Source organism: Homo sapiens, chromosome 7, assembly GCF_000001405.40.
Source record: "Homo sapiens chromosome 7, GRCh38.p14 Primary Assembly".
Lineage (NCBI taxonomy): Eukaryota > Metazoa > Chordata > Mammalia > Primates > Hominidae > Homo > Homo sapiens.
In genome coordinates this window covers 66,916,159-66,935,463 of record NC_000007.14, presented here as the reverse complement: position 1 = coordinate 66,935,463, position 19,305 = coordinate 66,916,159, and the positions used below count along the sequence as shown (strand labels likewise).

Here is a 19,305-nt window from a genome sequence, read left to right as displayed (position 1 = left end):
CGCCTGTAATCCCAACACTTTGGGAGGCCAAGGTGGGTGGATCACCTGAGGTCAGGAGTTTGAGGCTAGCCTGGCTAACATGGTGAAACCCTGTCTCTACTAAAAATACAAACGTTAGACAGGTGTGATGGCAAGCACCTGTAATCCCAGCTACTTGGGAGGCTGAGGCAGGAGAGCTGCTGGAACCCAGGAGGTGGAGGTTGCAGTGAGCTGAGATTGCGCCACTGCACTCCAGCCTGGGTGACAGAGCAAGACTCCATCTCAAAAATAATAATAACAATAATAATCTGGAAACAACACTAGTTAGGTTAAGATTAATATGATTCATAAATAAAAATGTCAACAGTAAATCAGAGTTCAATTTATTGAGCAAGAACAAAAACTTATTTTTGTTTTTTTGTTTTTTTGGACACAAGAGTCTCACTCTGTCGCCCAGGTTGGAGTGCAGGGGCACAATCTCAGCTCACTGCAACCTCCGCCTCCTGGGTTCAAGTGATTCTCCTGCCTCAGCCTTCTGAGTAGCTGAGATTACAGGTGCATGCCAACATGCCTGGCTAATTTTTGTCTTTTTTTAAGTAGAGACAGGGTTTCACCATGTTGACCAGACTGGTCTTGAACTCCTGTCCTCGAGTGATACGCCCACCCTGGCCTCCCACAGTGTTGGGATTATAGGTGTGAACCACCACACCTGGCCCAAAACCTTAGCCTTATATAAAAATGAATAGGACCCACTTACCACTTGGAACTACAATTATGAAACATTCAGGAAAACAGTAGAAAAATCTGAATTAGAATTCACTTCAAGGAAAACTAATAGTCATTAAAAGCACATCACACCAGAATTTAAACAATTATATCAACAGAAATACCCACAAAATGGCAAATATTGTCAACATAAGCCAATTTAATTTAGGGAAACTTCCAGCACAGGACAATTATAGTCACTAAAAAAGCGAAAGAATGGACCGGGCGCAGTGGTTCACGCCTGTAATCCCAGCACTTTGGGAGGCCAAAGCGGGTGGATCACCTGAGGTCAGGCGTTCGAGATCTGCCTGACTGACATGATGAAACCCCATTTCTACTAAAAATACAAAAATTAGCTGGGCATGGCGGCGTGTGCCTGTAATCCCAGCTACTCAGGAGTCTGAGGCAGGAGAATCACTTGAACCCAGGAGGCAGAGGTTGCAGTGAGCTGACTTTGTGCCACTGCACTCCAGCCTGGGCAACAAGAGCAAAAGTCCATCTCAAAATAATAATAATAATAAAATAATAATAATAATAAAAGAAAGCTTGAATAAAACTATTAAGATTCCAAACATTTTACAAACTTAAAATTCCTTTCTACCATTCACAAGCGTTTTCAAATAGGAAATTAATGAAGACTAAATAAATGTATCCCCTCTGCAAAGAGTTACGAGAAAATTTCTGTAAGCGTCACAGTGGCAAATGTTAGTTTTAATTAATGAATAAATTAAGTTCTGTTTAGGAAAAAAAAAAAGAAAAAGAGATAAAAGAAAGCACACTATTTGACCCCTCCCGCTAAATTCATTCCAACTCCAATTAGGGCATCCTGGTATTGACCAAGATGAAGAAAGAAATGACCACTGCTGGGAAGCTGCCTCTCTGAAAAGTTCAGGGATTTAGGGTACACTGAACATGGCCAAAAGGCAAATTCACAAGCACGTGAGAACATGTGATGAAAATCTATCAGCACAGTACCTTAGATCTCTGAGACTAACTCAGTGAAGACGCTAAACATCAGACGGCACTGTAAGCAAGCAAAAGGCAATACCAAGATTATCCCAAAGATATCTCTAGCAACCCACAAGTTACAAGAACACAAGTTCCTTAAAAAGGGGCGTGGAAACAGCTGTGTTATAAACTTTCTGGAAACCAACTTGGCTATACATATCAATAGTGTTAAAATCTGGCATATTTTATCTCCAACATTCTACTTCTAAGAACTAAACCTAAGGAAACACCCATTGCTCCAAAGATTTAACTACTCAGAGTTATTTTTGGAGTGTTTGCAATTGTTAAAAAATGGAAAACTACATATCCAACAATAGCAGGGGACAACTGAATAAAGCAGGATTTCTCCCCAGTATTGTACCTATCAAAAACACAAGATCTGGGCGTGGTGGCACACGTCCATAGTCCCAGCTACGTGGGGGGCTGAGGCAGGAGGATGGCTTGAGCCTGGGAGTTTGAGGCGGCAGTGAGCTATGATTGATTACGCCACTGCACTCTAGCCTGAGCAACAGAGTGAGTTCTTATCCCCCACAACCACCAAAACAAAGCGGGAGCTAGGCACAGTGGCTCACGCCTGTAATCCCAGCACTTTGGGAGGTCGAAGCAGGCGGATCACCTGAGGTCAGGAGTTCGAGACCAGCCAGGGCAACATGGTGAAACCCTGTCTCTACTAAAAACACAAAAAATTAGCCGGGTGTGGTGGCGCGTGGTTGTAGTCCCACCTACTCAGGAGGCTGAGGCACAAATTGCTTGAACCTGGGAGGTTGAATTGAGCTAAGATCGTGCCACTACACTCCAGCCTGGGTGATGGAGTGAGACTCTGTCTCAAAACAAACAAACAAAACACCCACAGGATCTTAAAATATCACATACAGTTGCCATAAAAAAATAAAATCGGCCAGGCGCGGTGGCTCATGCCTGTAATCCTAGCACTTTGGGAGGCTGAGGCGGGTGGACTGCCTGAGCTCAGGAGTTCGAGACTAGCTTGGGCAACATGGTGAAACCCCATCTCTACTAAAAATACAACAAATTAGCCGGGAGTGGCAGCGTGCGCCTGTAATCCCAGCTATTGGGAGGCTGAGACAGGAGAATTGCTTGAACCTGGGAGGCAGAGGTTGCAGTGAGCCGAGATCACGCCACTGCACTCCAGCCTGGGTGTCAGACTAAGACTCCATCTCAAAAAAAAAAAAAAAAGTTCTCAGGGAAAACTGTGCTCTGCACAATCCTCCATCTGGCGAGGTGAGAACAGGGATGGAGAAACTGAGGCAACAGGTAACCAACAGAAGGCGCTTTACGTAAGCAAAAGGCAATATCCAGGTTACCCTGATAATATTTCAAGCAACCCACAGGTTGCAAGAACACAAGTTCCTTAAGGGTGGCCAGGAAAAGACTGTGTTATAAACTTTCAAAACACTACTAGTTCAGGTGAAAGGGAGAGGTGTGGGAGGAGATGCTTACTTTTTATTACATGAGTTAACAAAAACACAGTTAATTGTGTTGGTGCAAAAGGAATCGCGGTTTTCACCAATACATAATGGCAAAAACCACGATTACTTTTGTACCAACCTAATATAAGGGGAGGAAAGCAGCTAGTAAAGGAGGAAGGCCGGATGGGTGCAGTGGCTCACGCCTGTAATCCCAGCACTTTGGGAGGCCAAGGTGGGTGGATCATGAGGTCAGGAGATCGAGACTATCCTGACTAACATGGTGAAACCCCGTCTCTACTAAAAGTACAAAAAATTAGCCAGGTGTGGTGGCGGGCGCCTGTAGTCCCAGCTACTTGAGAGGCTGAGGCAGGAGAATGGCATGAATCCAGGAGACGGAGCTTGCAGTGAGCCGAGATAGCACCACTGCACTCCAGCCTGGGTGACAGAGCGAGACTCTGCCTCAAAAAAAAAAAAAAAAAAAAAAAAAAAAAAGGAGGAAGGCCTCCTGGTTGGGCACAATAACTCACACCTGTAATCCCAGCACTTTGGGAGGCTGAGATGGAAGGATTGCTTGAGGCCAGGAGTTAGAAACCAGCCTGGCCAACACAACAAGACCCCGTCTCTACAAAAAACAATTTTTTAATAAATTAGCTAAGCATGGTGGTGTACACCAATGGCCCAGCTACTTGGGAGTCTGAGGTGGGAGGACTGGCTCAGCCCAGGAGGTCAAAGCTATAGTGAGCTATGATCATGCCACTGCACTCCAGCCTGGCCAACATGGTGGAAAAAAAAAATGTAATTTTGCAACTTAATAACATTTTATCAGAAAAAAAGTAAGTTAACATTCATTATGCCACAGACACAGGAAGCCTTTCAGTTTCTCCCTCTCTCCAAAGCCCGCATATGTACACATGGCTACTTGTCCAAGTTTTAAACTAACTTTATTGTAGTTTTAAACTGTTCTTTTTTTTTTTTTTTTTTTTTTTTGAGATATTGTCTCGCACTGTCACCCAGGCTGGCATGCAGCAGTGTGATCTCTGCTCAACCTCTGCCTCCCAGGTTCAAGCGATTCTCCTACCTCAGCCTCCCAAATAGCTGAGACTACAGGTGCACATCACCACGTCCGGCTAATTTTGATATTTTTAGTAGAGATGGGGTTTCACCATGTTGGCCAGGCTGGTCTCAAACTCCTGACTTCAAGTGATCCACCTGCCTCAGCCTCCCAAAGTGCTGGGATTCCAGGCACAAACCACCACACCAGGCCCACCATTCATCTTAAATGAGATTTTCTACCTTAGGTTAAATGGGAAGTTTCTGAAAGTTGAGGAAGAGAGGATGGGAGAAGCAAGCCTGCTCTCTACGCCAACCAAAGGAAATACATCGGACTTGTGCTAAGACAGAATGACAGAAACTCACCTTCATGTAGCAGAAAGTAGCATTTCTCAAATATCCTGTGATGTCTGAGACCCTCAAAGAGCTTTAAGGCCGGGGTTACAAACCCTGAGCCTAGTAAACAACAGTCATCGATGCGATGCCAGATTATCCAACACTTAGAGCTGAAGACACTTACTGGTATCAAAGAAACCCTGTGCAAGCTCCAGCACCCAGCTGCCCCAAGCACTGCGCAGAAACCATCTTCCTGCCCCACCGCAAAGCAGTGCAGGCAGAATGAACCTTCAGAGAGACAAGTGAGAAGCAACGAAGACACAGGAGAACTTCAAGGTCTCCAGTAATCTCTGGGCTGCTAAGTCCAAAGCTGGAGCTCCAGTCCCTAACTCATGTTGCTGCAGCATCTGATACAGAAGTGGGGTGGATCCTCTCCCAGTTTCCACTCCGGGTTTTCTTAACATTCATCTGGCCACCCCTTCCTTCTCAGGATCCTTCAAAAGCTGGTGTTCCCAAGTTCCAGCTGGGGCCTCTGCTCAAGGGGGACACGCTCATTCATGCCTTAATCCCATTTTATGTACCTACTCACCTCCAGATCCAAACAGTCACCTACTGGAGCTATCTCCTTAGATGACCCAAAGGCCATCAAGGCCAAAACTTATCCCAAGGCACCAAACTGGCTCCTTCCCTAAGGAAAAACACCGTCATTTACCTAGTGATCCCTGCCAGTCATTCTTTTTTTTGAGACAGGGTCTGGCTCTGGTGCCCAGGCTAGAGTGCAGTGGTATGAGCATGGCAGCCGCCTTGACTTCCTGGGCGCAAGCGATCCTCCCACCTTGGCCTCCCAAGTAGCTGGGACTACAAGTGCATGCTACCACTCCTGGCTAATTTTTGTATTTTTTGTAGAGATGGGATTTTGCCATGTTGCCCAGGCTGGTCTCAAACTCCTGGGCTCAAGCGATCCTCCCGCGTCAGCCTCCCAAATGCTGGGATTACAGACGTGAGCCACTGCGCCCAGCTCCTGCCAGTCATCCTTGACACTCTGGCTCTCCTACAACCAGTTACCAAGTCCTATCGTTTCCACATTTTAAGTGTCTCTCAAGGGCAGCTCTCACTCCATCCCCACTGACACTGCCTCCCTGCACCCTCAGCCAAATTAAATTGTTGTCTGAGCCGGGTGCTCACAGATGTAATGCCAGCATTTTGGGAGGCCGAGGCAGGTGGATCACCTGAGGCCAGGAGTTTGAGAGCATCCTGGCCAACATGAAACCCCATCTCTAATAAAAATACAAAAATTAGCTGGGCATGGCGGTGCACGCCTATAATGCCAGCTACTCAGGAAGCTGAGACAGGAGAATCGCTTGAACCCGGGAGGCGGAGGTTGCAGTGAGCCAAAATCAAGCCACTGAACTCCAGCCTGGGCACGAGAGCAAGAGTCTGTATCAAAAAAAAAAAAAAAAAAAAAAAAAAAATTTGTCTCTCATTTCCATGATATTGTTTCTGCATTCCTCCTACCTTGGACAGTGCCTGACACCAGGAAGGTGCTTAACAATAATAACGTCTACCGTCATTGCCTACTTTTTGAGAGAGGCACTGCTCTAAGAGTTTTGCACCTATTGTGTATGATCCCTAAAACATCTCTATTTTACAGATACGGAAATTAAGGCATATAGAAGTCAGCTAATGTGCCCATGATCACACGGGAAGTGAACCTGGATTCAAATCCAGTTGGCCTCCAGAGCCCATGCATTAACCATTAAGTTCTACTTCGGTCCAATAAATGATATAGGTTTGCATAAAGAAGTCAATCTGGCAGGGCACAATGGCTCCTGCCCATAATTCTAGCACTCTGGGAGGCTGAGGCCAGCCGATCACTTGAGCCCAGGAATTCGAGACCAGCCTGGAAAACACAAGAAGACCCTGTGTCTACAAAGAATACAAAATTTAGCTGGGTGTGGTGGTGCACACCTGTAGTCCCAGCTACTTGGGAGGCTGAGGTGGAGGGATCACCGGAACCCAGGAGTTTGAGGCTACAGTGAGCTGTGATGGCACCACTGCACTCTAGCCTGGGAGACAGAGTTAAACCCTATCTCAAAAAATGAAAATAAAAAGGAAAAAAAAAATTTTTTTAAGAGTCAATCCCATCAAATGAGAAAAGGCAGAAAAGCATCCATATAATTTTGCAATCGAGACATCAATAGTGATGTAAGCAAAACCCCTTTCACTAGGGTGATAGAGGCAAAAACCAGGTGACAAGGACGAAGGAGTGAGAAGAGAGCATTCTTAACAGCTACCACTTAGAACATGCCATTCCCAGGCACCGTGCCAAGCGCTTAACATATTTTTTAATCCTTGCAACACTGCTAGATAGATACTACTATTCCCACTTTACAGATGAGAAAACTGAAGCAAATGAGCTTAAGTAATTTGTACTAGGTCATGCTGCAAATAAATGGCAGAAATGGATTCTGACTTAATTCATCTGACCCCAAAAGCCATGCTATCAATCACAATGCCAAGGTTGATAAGACAGTTTCAAGTCAAATGCCAAAGTGAAAAAAAAAAACAACTCACATGCCATAGATATACAAAGTGCATTTTAGTCACTGATTTTAACAAAGACACAAGTAAGAGATCAACTTTTTTGAAGTTTAAAATGTTTAACTTAGTTTCTTTTTTTTTCAAGACTGAGTTTCACTCTCATCACCCAGGCTGGAGTGCAATGGCACAATCTCAGCTCACTGCAACCTCTGCTTCCTGGGTTCGAGTGATTCTCCTGCTTCAGACTCCTGACTAAATGGGATTACAGGCGCCCACCAGCAGGCCTAGCTAATTTTTGTATTTTTAGTAGAGACAGGGTTTCACCAAGCTGGTCAGGCTGGTCTTGAATTCCTGACCTCAGGTGATCCACCTGCCTTGGCTTCCCAAAGTGCTGGGATTACAGGTGTGAGCTACCGTGCTCAGCCTATTTTCCATTTCTTTAGCAGGATTCCTCCCATCTCAGCACTCATTCATCAGTTAAGAGTATGAAGCAAAGACTGGCACAGTCTTCTGCCAATAGTGTCTTGTTTCTTAATGTGATACAATTCACAGTGTAGAACAGACTTTCACAATAACTCACGTTTAAAAGGAACCAAAGAGAGACTGGGCATGGTGTTTCATGCCTGTAATCCCAACACTTTGGGAGGCCAAGGTCAGAGGATCACTTGAGCACAGGAGTTCGAGACCAGCCTGGACAACACAGTGAGACCCCGTCCCTAAAAAAAAAAAAAAACAAAACCCAAATTAAAAAAAATTAGCTGGGCATGGTTTCACCTATAGTCCCAGCTAATTGGGAGGGCAAGGCAGGAGGATCAGTTGAGTCCAAGAGTTCAAGGCTACTGTGAGCCACGGCTATGGTCACACCACTGCACTCCAGCCTCGGTGACAGGGAGAAACCTTGTCTCAAAAAAAAAAAAAAGATCAAATAAGAAATTACAAGAGAAAGCATAGTTTTAGTTGCTAAACGTGTAGTTTAGGCAACATCAGTAGTCTCATAAAGACAAAAGGAAAGGAATGTAGGCTGACATAATTACATGTCTGGAACCAGACTTACTTCTAAAACTCAGACTTCCCGTTTATTTCTCCTCACTTACGGTTGTTAATGAATGCATCGTTCCATTTTCAAAATCATGATATAAAACCATGGTAACGTTCAACCCCCCCGCTTCTTAAAAAAATTCACTACAGTCTCAAGATGGAAAATAATTTATCTTTGTTCTTTAGTTTTTTAAATAATTGCCAACCATCTTAAACACCAAAATTAAAAGTACTCCCATATTAAAATTTAATAATCTGGGGCTTAATTTTTAAGAAAACAAGTCATGAGGGATGCCAAGATCAAACAAAAGCTAATAGTTCAGTATGAAACCTTTCTGTAACCAAACTCAGTGTGTAAGACTGGGACATGTTTGAAAAACAGCACTTGTAACCAAACAACACAAAAGTCCAAACGGCAGTGTTTCGAAGGCTGTGTCATGTACTCCCCAGGATCACACTCAGGTATGTAATCACACGCAGAAAAAACACTACAGACCTCTTGTCAAATGTATTTGATTCGTACATGAGAAAGTTAACTTAAGGATTTCCATGTTCGAAATCAATCTAAATGAAAATTCAATTTGCTAAAACCTCTATCTTTCCTCCTTTCTGTTTTTTCATTTTAAAGAAAGGCCAAGGTTCTTTGTCCATTTTTCTTTCTTTTCTTTTTTTTTTTTTTTGTTTCAGATGGAGTCTTGCTCTGTCACCCAGGCTGGACTGCAGTGGTGCGAACCCGGCTCACCACAACCTCCACATCCCAGGTTCAAGTGATTCTCCTGCTTCAGCCTCCTGAGTAGCTGAAGTAGCTTGTAAGCATGCTTACAACCATGTGCCACCACGCCCAGCTAATTCTTGTACTTTTAGTAGAGACAGGGTTTCACCATGTTGGCCAGGTTAGTCTCGAACTCCTGACCTCAAGCAATCCACCAGCCTTGGCCTCCCAAAGTGCTGGCATTACAGGCGTAAGCCACGGTGCCTGGCTGCCCATTTTTCAATTGGATTTTTTGTTTTCTTGCTACTGAGTTGTTTGAGCTTTGTATATATTTTGGATATTAACCCCTTTTCAGACGTATGGTTTGCAAGTAGCTTCTCCAAATCCCTAGGGATTAAAAAATGGGCAAGGGACACGAACAGATGTTTCTCAAGAGACCGACAAATGGCCAACAGATATAGTTGGCCAACATATCACAATCACTAGAGAAGTGCAAATTAAAATCACAATGAGATATCATCTCGCGCCTGTCAGGATGACTTTTATCAAAGAAAAACAAATGCTGGTGAGAATGTGGAGCTAAGGGAGCCGTCATGCACTGTGGGAATGTAAATTAGTACAGCCAAGATGGAAAACAGCACAGAAATTCCTTTAAAAACTAAAAATAGGCCGGGCGTGGTGGCTCACGTCTGTAATCCCAGCACTTTGGGAGGCTGAGGCGGGTGGATTATGAGGTCAGGAGTTCAAGACCAGCCTGACCAACATGGTGAAACCCTGTCTCTACTAAAAATACAAAAAATTAGCGTGGCGTGGTGGCGTGCACCTGTAATCTCAGCTACTCGGGAGGCTGAGGCAGGAGAATCGCTTGAATCCAGGCAACAGAGCGAGACTCTGTCTCCAAAAAAAAAAAAAAGAAAAAACTACAAATAGAATTATTTCATGATCCAGCAATCCCACTGCTGAATATATACTACCCCAAATTGAAATCAGATTGTCAAAGAGATGTCTGTTCACTGCAGCACTATTTGCCACAACATGGACAGAAGCGATGAACGTTATACTAAGAGAAATAAGCCAGGCATAGAAGCACAATATAGGATTCCACTTATATGTGGAATCTAGAAGACAATGGAACTCATTGCAGCAGAGAGCAGAACTATGGTTACAGAAGCAGGGGGTGGGGAACAGGGAGATGATGGTCAAAGGGTACAAAGTCCGTTAGAGAAAAGGAATATATTTTTTCTTTTTTGAGTTATATTGCACAGTGTGGTAAATATAGTTAATACAGTTATTTTTGGGTGGCTCACACCTTTAATGCTAGCATTTTGGGAGGCCAAGATGGGAGGATCACTTGTGCCCAGGAGTTTGAGACCAGCCTGAGCAACAGAGTGAGACCTTGCCTCTACAAAAAATCAAAAAATTAGCCAGGTGTGGTGGTGTACATCTGTGCTCCCAGCCACTCAGGAGACTGAGGCAGGAGTATGACTTGAGCCCAGGAGGAGGAGGGTGCAGTGAGCCATGATCACCCACAGCACTCCAGCCAGGACAACAGAGCAAAACTCTGTCCCGTAATAATTATTTTTTTTAATTAAAAAATAGGGCCGGGGCTGGTGGCTCACGCCTGTAATCCCAGCACTTTGAGAGGCCAAGGCGGGCGGATCACGAGGTCAGGAGTTCAAAACCAGCCTGACCAACATGGCGAAACCCCATCTCTACTAAAATACAAAAAAATTAGCCAGGCGTGGTGGTGCGTGCCTGTAGTCCCAGCTACACGGGAGGCTGAGCCAGAAGAATCGTTTGAAACTGGGCGGCGAAGGTTGCAGTGACCGAGGTCATGCCACTACACTCCAGCCCAGACAACAAGGTGAGACTCCATCTCAAATAAATAAATAAATAAAAATAAGGCCAGGTGTGGTGGCTCATGCCTGTAATCCCAGCACTTTGGGAGGCCGCAGTGGGCGGACCACCTGAGGTCAGGAGTTTGAGACCAGCCTGACCAACATGATGAAACCCTGTCTCTACTAAAAATAGAAAAATTAGCCAGGCATGGTGGCGGGCATCTGTAATCCCAGCTACTCAAGAGGCTGAGGCAGGAGAATCGCTTGAACCCGGAAGGCGGAGGTTGCAGTGAGCTGAGATCGCGCCACTGTACTCTAGCCTGGACGACAGAGCAAGACTCTGTCTCAAAAAATATATATAAAATAAAATAAAATAAGGGCTAAGGCTGAGGCCAGTGAGGTCCTGAGATCAGTCATATCATCTAGAGCAATTACATGGCATCCTGTGTGAATGGCTTCAAAGGTTCTTCAGTACTGGGCAAGGGAAACACACCATCTCTGTGACATGGACCAGATTTCACTAAAAACCCTCTGGAGAGGACTGAAGGGCTTGCCATTTATCCTTTGGCTGTAGCCAGAGCTGCAGAGACCAGACTAGAGCTGTGCTCCTGCAAACTGAACACAGGCACTGAAACAACTCACAGACATCAAATTTAATTTCCTGATTGTCAATACCAGACAGGAATGACAATCAGCATCTTTTTCATTGTCCTTAATAAAATAAGTTAAGCATTGTTTTATGCCAACGGCCTCTTACAGAACAAGACAAACTCATTAAATGAAAACAATTCTTTAGAAACCAAAGGCCAGGCCTGGTGGCTCACGCCTGTAATCCCAGCACATTGGGAGGCTGAGGCAGGCGGATCACTTGACGTCAAGGGTTTGAGACCAGCCTGGCCAACATGGTGAAACCCTGTCTCCATTAAAAATACACAAATTAGCTGGGTGTGGCGGCATGCACCTGTAGTCCCAGCTACTCAGGAGGCTGAGGAATCGCTTGAACCCAGAAGGCAGAGGTTGCCGACTGCGTCACTGCACTCCAACCTGGGCAACAGAGCAAGACTCCATCTCAAAGAAAACAAAAACAAAAAAACCCAGAAATCTACGAGAAACTAGACTGGGTAGCTTATGCTTATCTTTCTTAGAAAAGCATTTAACCCTTAACTAGCTGCCTCTGCCAATATTTCTAGGCACTGATTGTCCAGCTACCTAGCCTGGGTGCTTGTCCACCAACTGGCCCTAGTTTTTTCATTTCCCAGCTAATTCTGAATGGCCCAAATCCTCTTGATCTTTCTAGGTCCACCTCAAAGTTTACTTCACGAGTTTCGGGCTGAGCAAGGTGGCTCACACCTATACTTCCAGCACTTTGGGAGGCCAAGGTGGGCAGATCACCTGAGGTCAGGAGTTCAAGGCCTGGCCAACAACATGAAACCTCGTCTCTACCAAAAATACAAAAATTAGCCAGGCGTGGTGGCAGGCAACTGTAATCCCAGCTACTCAGGCAGCTGAGGCAGAAAAATCGCTTGAACCTGAGAGGCAGAGGTTGCAGTGAGCTAACTTCGCGCCACTGCACTCCAGCCTAGGCAACAGAGCAAGACTCCGCCTCAAGAAAAAAAAAAAAGTTAGTTTCTGATCCTAACCATAACAAAATCCTGAACAGTTGGTATACCACTATGGCAATTCAGTCCTGCCACATTTTCTAGCCTATTGCTTCCTCTAAGTACATTCCTTACAGGCAGAAACTATTAATATATTCGCACTTATGCCAGGTGCGGGTGGTTCACGCCTATAATTCCAGAACTTTGGGAGGCCGAGGAGGATGGATCACCTGAGGTCAGGAGTTCAAGACCAGCCTGGCCAACATGGTGAAACCTTGTCTCTACTAAAAATACAAAAATTAGCTGGGCATGGTGGCGGGCACCTGTAATCCCAGCTACTAGGGAGGCTGAGGCAGGAGGATTGCTTGGACCTGGGAGGCAGAGGTTGCAGTGAGCAGAGATCGCACCACTGCACTCCAGCCTGGGCGACAAGAGTGAGACTCTGTCTCAAAAACATATATATATATAATCTACCTTTCCTCCTTGCCACAGATGCAGCTAGAGCCTAAACGGAGAAGGTGCCAGTTAACTAGCCTTTGGTGATTTTAGCATTGAGACTCCGGTGCTAGCAGTGATTCCAGTCCACCTGATTCAGGCCACAGGAATTCTCCCAGAATCTTCACTACAAGTTGAAACTCCAAATCCTTAATCCTAGAGAGTAAATGCACTTAGGGTCAATGCACACCTAAGTATACCTTAGGTGCGCGACAGGTCTATTTCCTGTCAGAATCCCTAGATGAAAAGAGGAAGTAGATGGACACCCTTATCGGTCAAGCGCTGATGGAACACTCATCTACAAATGAGATACACATGCTGAGACCCTAAGCTGACCCAAGCTGATGGTGCTATCGAGACAAACCACTTTATCACATATTCATCAGCAGTCTCGGAGTTTTTCTTCCCATTCCCTCCCGTAGCGGCTCACCTTTGAGGCAGGAAAGAAGCAGTTCAGGCGGAAGCCACAATCTTTACAAAGCAGGCTTCAGAGAAGCTCACCATTCATCAGCCAGTGAGGGCTGTCACCTGCTAGTTGAGAACTAAACTCAGACATCAGATTCTTCCACAAAGGCCTCCTCACCAGCTGTCCGATGGGTACGGCGTTCAAACGACTCAAAACAGCACAACAAGCCTGGTTTTATTTCTGATGGTCCCCATCAAGGGAACTGAAACTACATGCCTCTAGATTACCTTGCGATCACTCCTCATTTTATTAAAAACATGAAGAAAGAATCCACCCCATTCCGGATATTTACCAAGCTTGACACAGGGAACACCACTATGCCATTTAACTTTGTGGACGTACGTGAGTCTCTCCCTCCCACCTTTCTGAGATGTGTTTCACTGCCAAACGGAGAAGAAACGCAAACACTCCCCAAAGCCGAAAAATGGCAAACGACCAAGATGTTTCCCGTGCCAAATCCGAATTATCCAGGCCTCGGCTCCAGACGTGGGAAGTCCCGCCATCTCCAAGGCCGGCAGGGAACCCTGGCTCGGGGGACGCGAGTGGGCAAACCCCAGTGTGGGGGGACCAGGCCGAGGTCGGCCGATGCTGGGCGACCCCCGCCAGCAGTTGGGGCGGGGTCTGCACCCTGAGAAGCGGTGAAAAAAGCCGGCGGAGGAGCCGCTCCCGACCAGCACGCTCCCCGCTCCCGGCCCCGCGGGCAGCCCCGACTGGGCCCGACCCCAGCCCGCCCTCCAGCCCCGGCTCACCCCGCCCCGGCGGGCAGCTGCGCGCCCCGGGCCCAGCCGGGCCAGCTGCTCGGCGGACGCCCGCGGTCGCGCTGGGCTCACTCGTGGCGGCGCGTGGCGGGCCCGAGGCCGCTAGGCACCATCTTCTCCCCGCGCCGGGGGCAGCGTCTGGCTCCGCGGGGCCGACGCGAAGACCAGACGCCAACCGGGCTCCCGCCGCCGCCTCAGTTCGGGCTCCGGCAACCGCGGTTTCCGGGTGAAAAAAAAAAAAAAAACCACGCCACCTCCAACGCCGCCGTGACCTCCGACCCCGGGCGTCCGACGGTGGCGCGGCCGGGACAAGCTTCGTCAGAGGCAGGCGGCGGAGACCACGCTTCCGGGACGGGTAGCGTGCATGCGGACGTGCGTGGAGTGCGTGATGGACGTTTATGGGTCTGTGTGCCGGTCTGGTGTTGTGCGTGTGCGTGTGTGCGTAGTGCGTGTATGTGGCTTGTAGTGTGCATCGTGTACAACGGTGTGTGCAGTGAGTGCATGTATGTGCATCTGTGTGCGCGTGTGTGGTGTGTGATGGTATGGGTGTGTGCATGCGTAGATGTGTAGGGAGTGCGCACACGTGTGCATGCTCATGTGTGTGCTATGCGTGTGTCTGTTGATGTGCTTGTATATTAATCACTGCTGATAAACATGTAATTTTGGACCAGGCGCGGTGGCTCAGGCCTGTAATCTCAGCACTTTGGGAGGCCAAGGCAGGAGGATCGCTTGAGTCCTGGAGTTCCAGACCAGCCTGGGTAACATAGGGAGTCTCTGACTCTATTTATAAATAAAATAAAATGAAAATGAAAATTTTTAAAGTATAATTTTGTACAATCACTTTGCAAAGTAATTTGGCATTATGCAGTACACTTAAAGATATACACATCCTCTCTTGAGAATATATTACCCTGGAGAAACAGTTGCACCTATGCACAAGTAGACAAAATAATGCTCATAGCAACACCAATGTTTTTAGCAGCAGTATGACTCACTAAAAATTGGGGAGAAAAAGCAGATGTCCATACAGTCAAATGTAAAAACCAACTTTGATATATTCATGGTTTGGTTTGTTTTTGTAGAGACAGGGTCTCCCTATGTTACTCAAGCTGGTCTCGAACTACTGGACCCAAGTGATCCTCCCACCTCGGGAGGATCTGGGATTACAGGTGTGAGCTGCCACGCCTGGCCCATCTTCGTGTTTAATCGGGTACAAAAGACCAGTGAAAATTATTTAATACAGCTCACACAATTATGGTAGTCAATTGCAGACTATATTGGCAGGGACCAAATCACAAAATGGTACACTGCTACATATTTCCATTATGTAAAATTCAAAACAGGCAAGTTCATAACATATTGTTTAGAGATGCATACATAATTGTTTGAACTGACATGAAGCATGAGAAAAAGATGTATAAACTTCATGTTAAGTGTTAGGGGAATGGGATGGGGGAGGAGTACAGGGTGCTTTAAAGGTAATAAAGTTTTGTTGTTCTTGCTTTTGAGACAAGGTCTTGCTCTGTCACCCAAGCTGGAGTGCAGTCGCATGATCATGGCTCACTGCAGACTCGGCCTCCCAAGCTGAAGTGATCCTCCTGTCTCAGCCTCCTGAGTAGCTGGGACCACAGATGTGCACCATCGTGCCCAGCTAATTTTCATATTTTTCACAGAAATGGGGTTTCCCCCAAATTGCTCAGGCTGGTCTCAAACTCCTGGGCTCAAGTGATCCGCTCACTTCCACCTCCCAAAGTGCTGGGATTACAGGCATGAGCCACCACACCCAGCCATCTTTAACAAAAGTTTATCAGGTGAAGCCTGTAATGTTCAACACAATGGCTCAGTTCCTTCACTGAATACCCTCTTATTTCCATGATTCTTGCCCTCTTTTGTTATCTTGCACCATTTGAATTATCTTCCTTGTTGTAATGGGTGTGACATTATCTGCAAGTGCAGGCAGTATTGAATTGTGTATATAATGATGGAACCAAACTTCCTAATGAGATGTCCCTTACCAGGCTAGGACTGATAATGTAATTAAAGGAGCCCCACCACCAATGGCACCATATATGACTTAGTGATTGAGACCGTAGGAGAATGTAAAAAAGGCAACCTCAAACCTTTCATCCTAGCTGCCTTGTATGGGATTTCAAAAAAAATTTTTGTTTTTGTTTTGAGATGGAGTCTCGCTCTGTCGCCCAGGCTGGAGTGCAGTGGCACGATCTTGGCTCACTGCAACCTCTGCCTCCTGGGTTCAAGCGATTCTCCTGCCTCAGCCTCCTGAGTAGCTGGGATTACAGGCGCATGCCACCACGCCCCGCTAATTTTTGTATTTTTAGTAGAGAAGGTGTTTTGCCATGTTGGTCAGGCTGGTCACGAACTCCTGGCCTCAAGTGATCTGCCCACCTTGGCCTCCCAAACTGTTGGGATTACAGGTGTGAGCCCGAGTCCAGTAAAAAAAAAAAAAAAAAAAAAGAAACCTTTTTAAATAGAGACAAGGTCTCACTGTGTTGCCCAAGCTGGTTTTGAGCTTCTGGCCTTAAGCAATCCTCCTTACTCAGCTTCCCAAAGAGCTGGGATTATACGTGTGAGCTACCATGTCCAGCTGGATTGTAAAATTCTTTTTTTAAAAAAAGATTACATGGTGCAGCCACTTTTAAACAACAATCTGGCAATTTCTCAAAAAGTTTAACATAGAGTTATCATTTGAAGCCAGGTGTGTTGGCTCACGCCTGTAGTCCCAACAGTGGGAGGCTGAGGCAGGAGGATCGCTTGAGCCCAGGAGTTCAAGACCAGCCTGGCCAACATGGTAAAACCCTGTCTCTACTAAAAAATAAAAATAAAAAAATTAGCTGGGCATGGTGGTGGGCACCTGTAATCCCAGCTACTCAGGAGGCTGAGGCAGGAGAATCACTTGAACCTGGGAGGCAGAGGTTGCAGTGAGCTGAGATTGCGCCACTGCCCTCCAGCCTGGGCAACAGAGTGAGACTGTCTAAAAAAAAAAAAAAAAAAAACCATTCTGGAAAACATAGCAAACCCCATCTCATAAATAAATGAACAAGTTCTAAGACATATGGCTTTATTTAAAAAAATAAAAAGTTACTGGCCACATGTGGTGGCTCACGCCTTTAATCCCAGCACTTTGGGAGCCCAAGGTGGGTGGATCACTTGAGGTCAGGAGTTTGAGACCAGCCTTGCCAACATGGCGAAACCCCGTCTCTACTAAAAATACAAAAAATTAACCGGGTTTGGTGGCCGGTGCCTGTAATCCCAGCTACTTGGGAGGCTGAGATGAGTGGCTTGAACCCAGGAAGCAGAGGTTGCAGTGAGCTGAGATCACGCCACTGCACTTCAGCCTGGGCGACAGAGCCAGACCTTGTCGCCAAAAAAAATAAAAGTTACCATTTGACCTCACAATTCCACTCCTGGAGATCCAAGAGAATTGCAAACAAAAATTCCAAACAAAAAGTTGTACAGGAGTGTTTATAGCAGCATCATAATAGCCAAAAAGTGGAAGCAACTCAAATGTTCATCAACTGATTAATGGAAAAACAAAATGTAGCAAATTCACAAGCAGAATGGTATTCAGCCATGAAAAGGAATGAAGAAATAATGCATACTACAGCATAGATGAATGTTGAACACATTATGCCAAGTGAAAGAAGCCAGTCACAAAAGGCCCTGTATTGGATGATTGCGTGTCTATGAAATGTCCAGAATAGACACATTTATGGAACAGAAAGCAGATTGGTGGTTGGGTTGCCTAGGGTGGGTAAGAGGCAATTGGGAGGTGGTAATAGCCAGGGAGTTTCTTTTGGGAGTGATGAAAATATTCAAAAACAGGCAGTGCGCAGTGGCTCATGCCTGTAATCCCACTACTTTGCGAGGCTGAGGCTGGTGGATCACTTGAGGTCAGGAATTTGACACCAGCCTGGCCAACATGGTGAAACTCCATCTGTGTTAAAAATACAAAAAATAGCCAGGCGTTGTGGTGCCTGCCTGTAATCCCAGTTACTCGAGAGACTGAGGCACGAGAATCACTTGAACCTGGGAGGCGGATATTGCAGTGAGCCAAGATCGTGCCATTGCACTCCAGCCTGGGCGACAGAGCAAGACTCTGTCTCAAGAAAAAAAAAATTATGATGATGGTTGCACAATTCTGTGATTAAACTAAAAACCACTGAAGTGTACACTTTTAATTGAGTTAATTGTATGTATGTTAATTAGATCTAAACAAACTTTTTTTTAAGGTTAAGGCTTTACAAAAGAAATAAAACCAAAACAAGAAAAGGGATAAAAATATAGGCTCTAATCATGTGGAAATCCTTAGACAGTTAATTTTTAAATGGCATGAAAAAGAAGGAAATTGACAAAGAGCCTACAAAACTTTGAGATAATTTTCTAGGAATCTGGGGTTCCCACCGTGAAGTCTCCTCAAACTCCTTAGCATATACAGTTCTGAGGCTTAGAGAAGTTTCAGAAAGAAAATTCTTCCAATGAACCTACAGCATTGAATGCCAAAATACCCATGTTTGTTTGGGTTTTTTTATTTATTCATTTTGAGACAGGGTCTTGTTCTGTTGCCCAGGTTGGAGTGCAGTGGCACAATCATAGCTCAGTGCAGCCTCAACCTGTCGGGTTCAAGCAATCCTCCTGTCTCAGCCTCCCAAGTAGCTGGGACTACAGATGCGTGCTACCACTTCCAGCTAATCTCTTTATTTTATGCTTTGTAGAAACTGTCCATTGCCCAGGCTGGTCTCAAACTCCCAGGCTCAAGCAATCCTCCCACCTCAGCCTCCCAAAGTGCTAGGATTACAGGTGTGAGCCATCGCATCCATCCCCCACTTTTACTATTAAGTCAGTAGTCCCTTGTTCCATACTTGCAAATTTTTATTTAACATTGAGATGGTTTCAAAATTAAAAAATTAGGCAGAGCATGGTGGCTCATGCCTGTAATCTCAGCAATTTGGGAAGCTGAGGCCGGAGGATCACTTGAGGTCAAGAGTTCGAGACCAGCCTGGCCAACATGGTGAAACCCTATCTCTACTACAAATTCAAAAATGAGCCAGACATGGCGGCGGGCGCCTGTAATCCCAGCTACTTGGGAGGCTAAGGCAGGAGAATCGCTTGAACCCAGGAGGTGGAGGTTGCAGTGAGCCGAGATCAGGCCACTGCACTCCAGCCTGGGTGATAGAGTGAAACGCCATCTAAAATAATAATAATAATAATAATAATAATAATAATAATAATAATAATAATAATAAAATAAAAAAGTAAGTGACATTCCTTATCAA

At 45.7% G+C, this 19,305-nt stretch overlaps 1 protein-coding gene across 4 annotated transcripts in view, besides 1 other annotated feature; it reads right to left on the bottom strand.

Annotated features, from left to right (window-relative positions):
• TMEM248 (transmembrane protein 248) overlaps positions 1 to 14,239 on the bottom strand; it is a 37,327-nt gene extending 23,088 nt beyond the window's left edge. The window contains exon 1 of one of the 4 annotated variants that reach the window (NM_017994.5): positions 14,003 to 14,239. Coding sequence is in view for 1 of the 4 variants with exons in the window: in XM_024446819.2 (XP_024302587.1) it covers positions 4,596 to 4,601 (6 nt within the window). In the remaining 3 variants the exon portion in view is untranslated. Of the gene's footprint in view, positions 1 to 4,595; positions 4,850 to 7,686; positions 7,705 to 13,614; positions 13,631 to 14,002 lie in introns of those variants that run through there. The other 3 variants (XM_024446821.2, XM_024446820.2, XM_024446819.2) reach the window with 3 other exon arrangements.
• Positions 13,948 to 14,197: a silencer, noted in NCBI's record as "silent region_18218". NCBI's record gives its function as "represses an Ori minimal core promoter by ATAC-STARR-seq in GM12878 lymphoblastoid cells {active_cell/tissue: GM12878}" and the evidence as "EXISTENCE:reporter gene assay evidence [ECO:0000049][PMID:35858748]".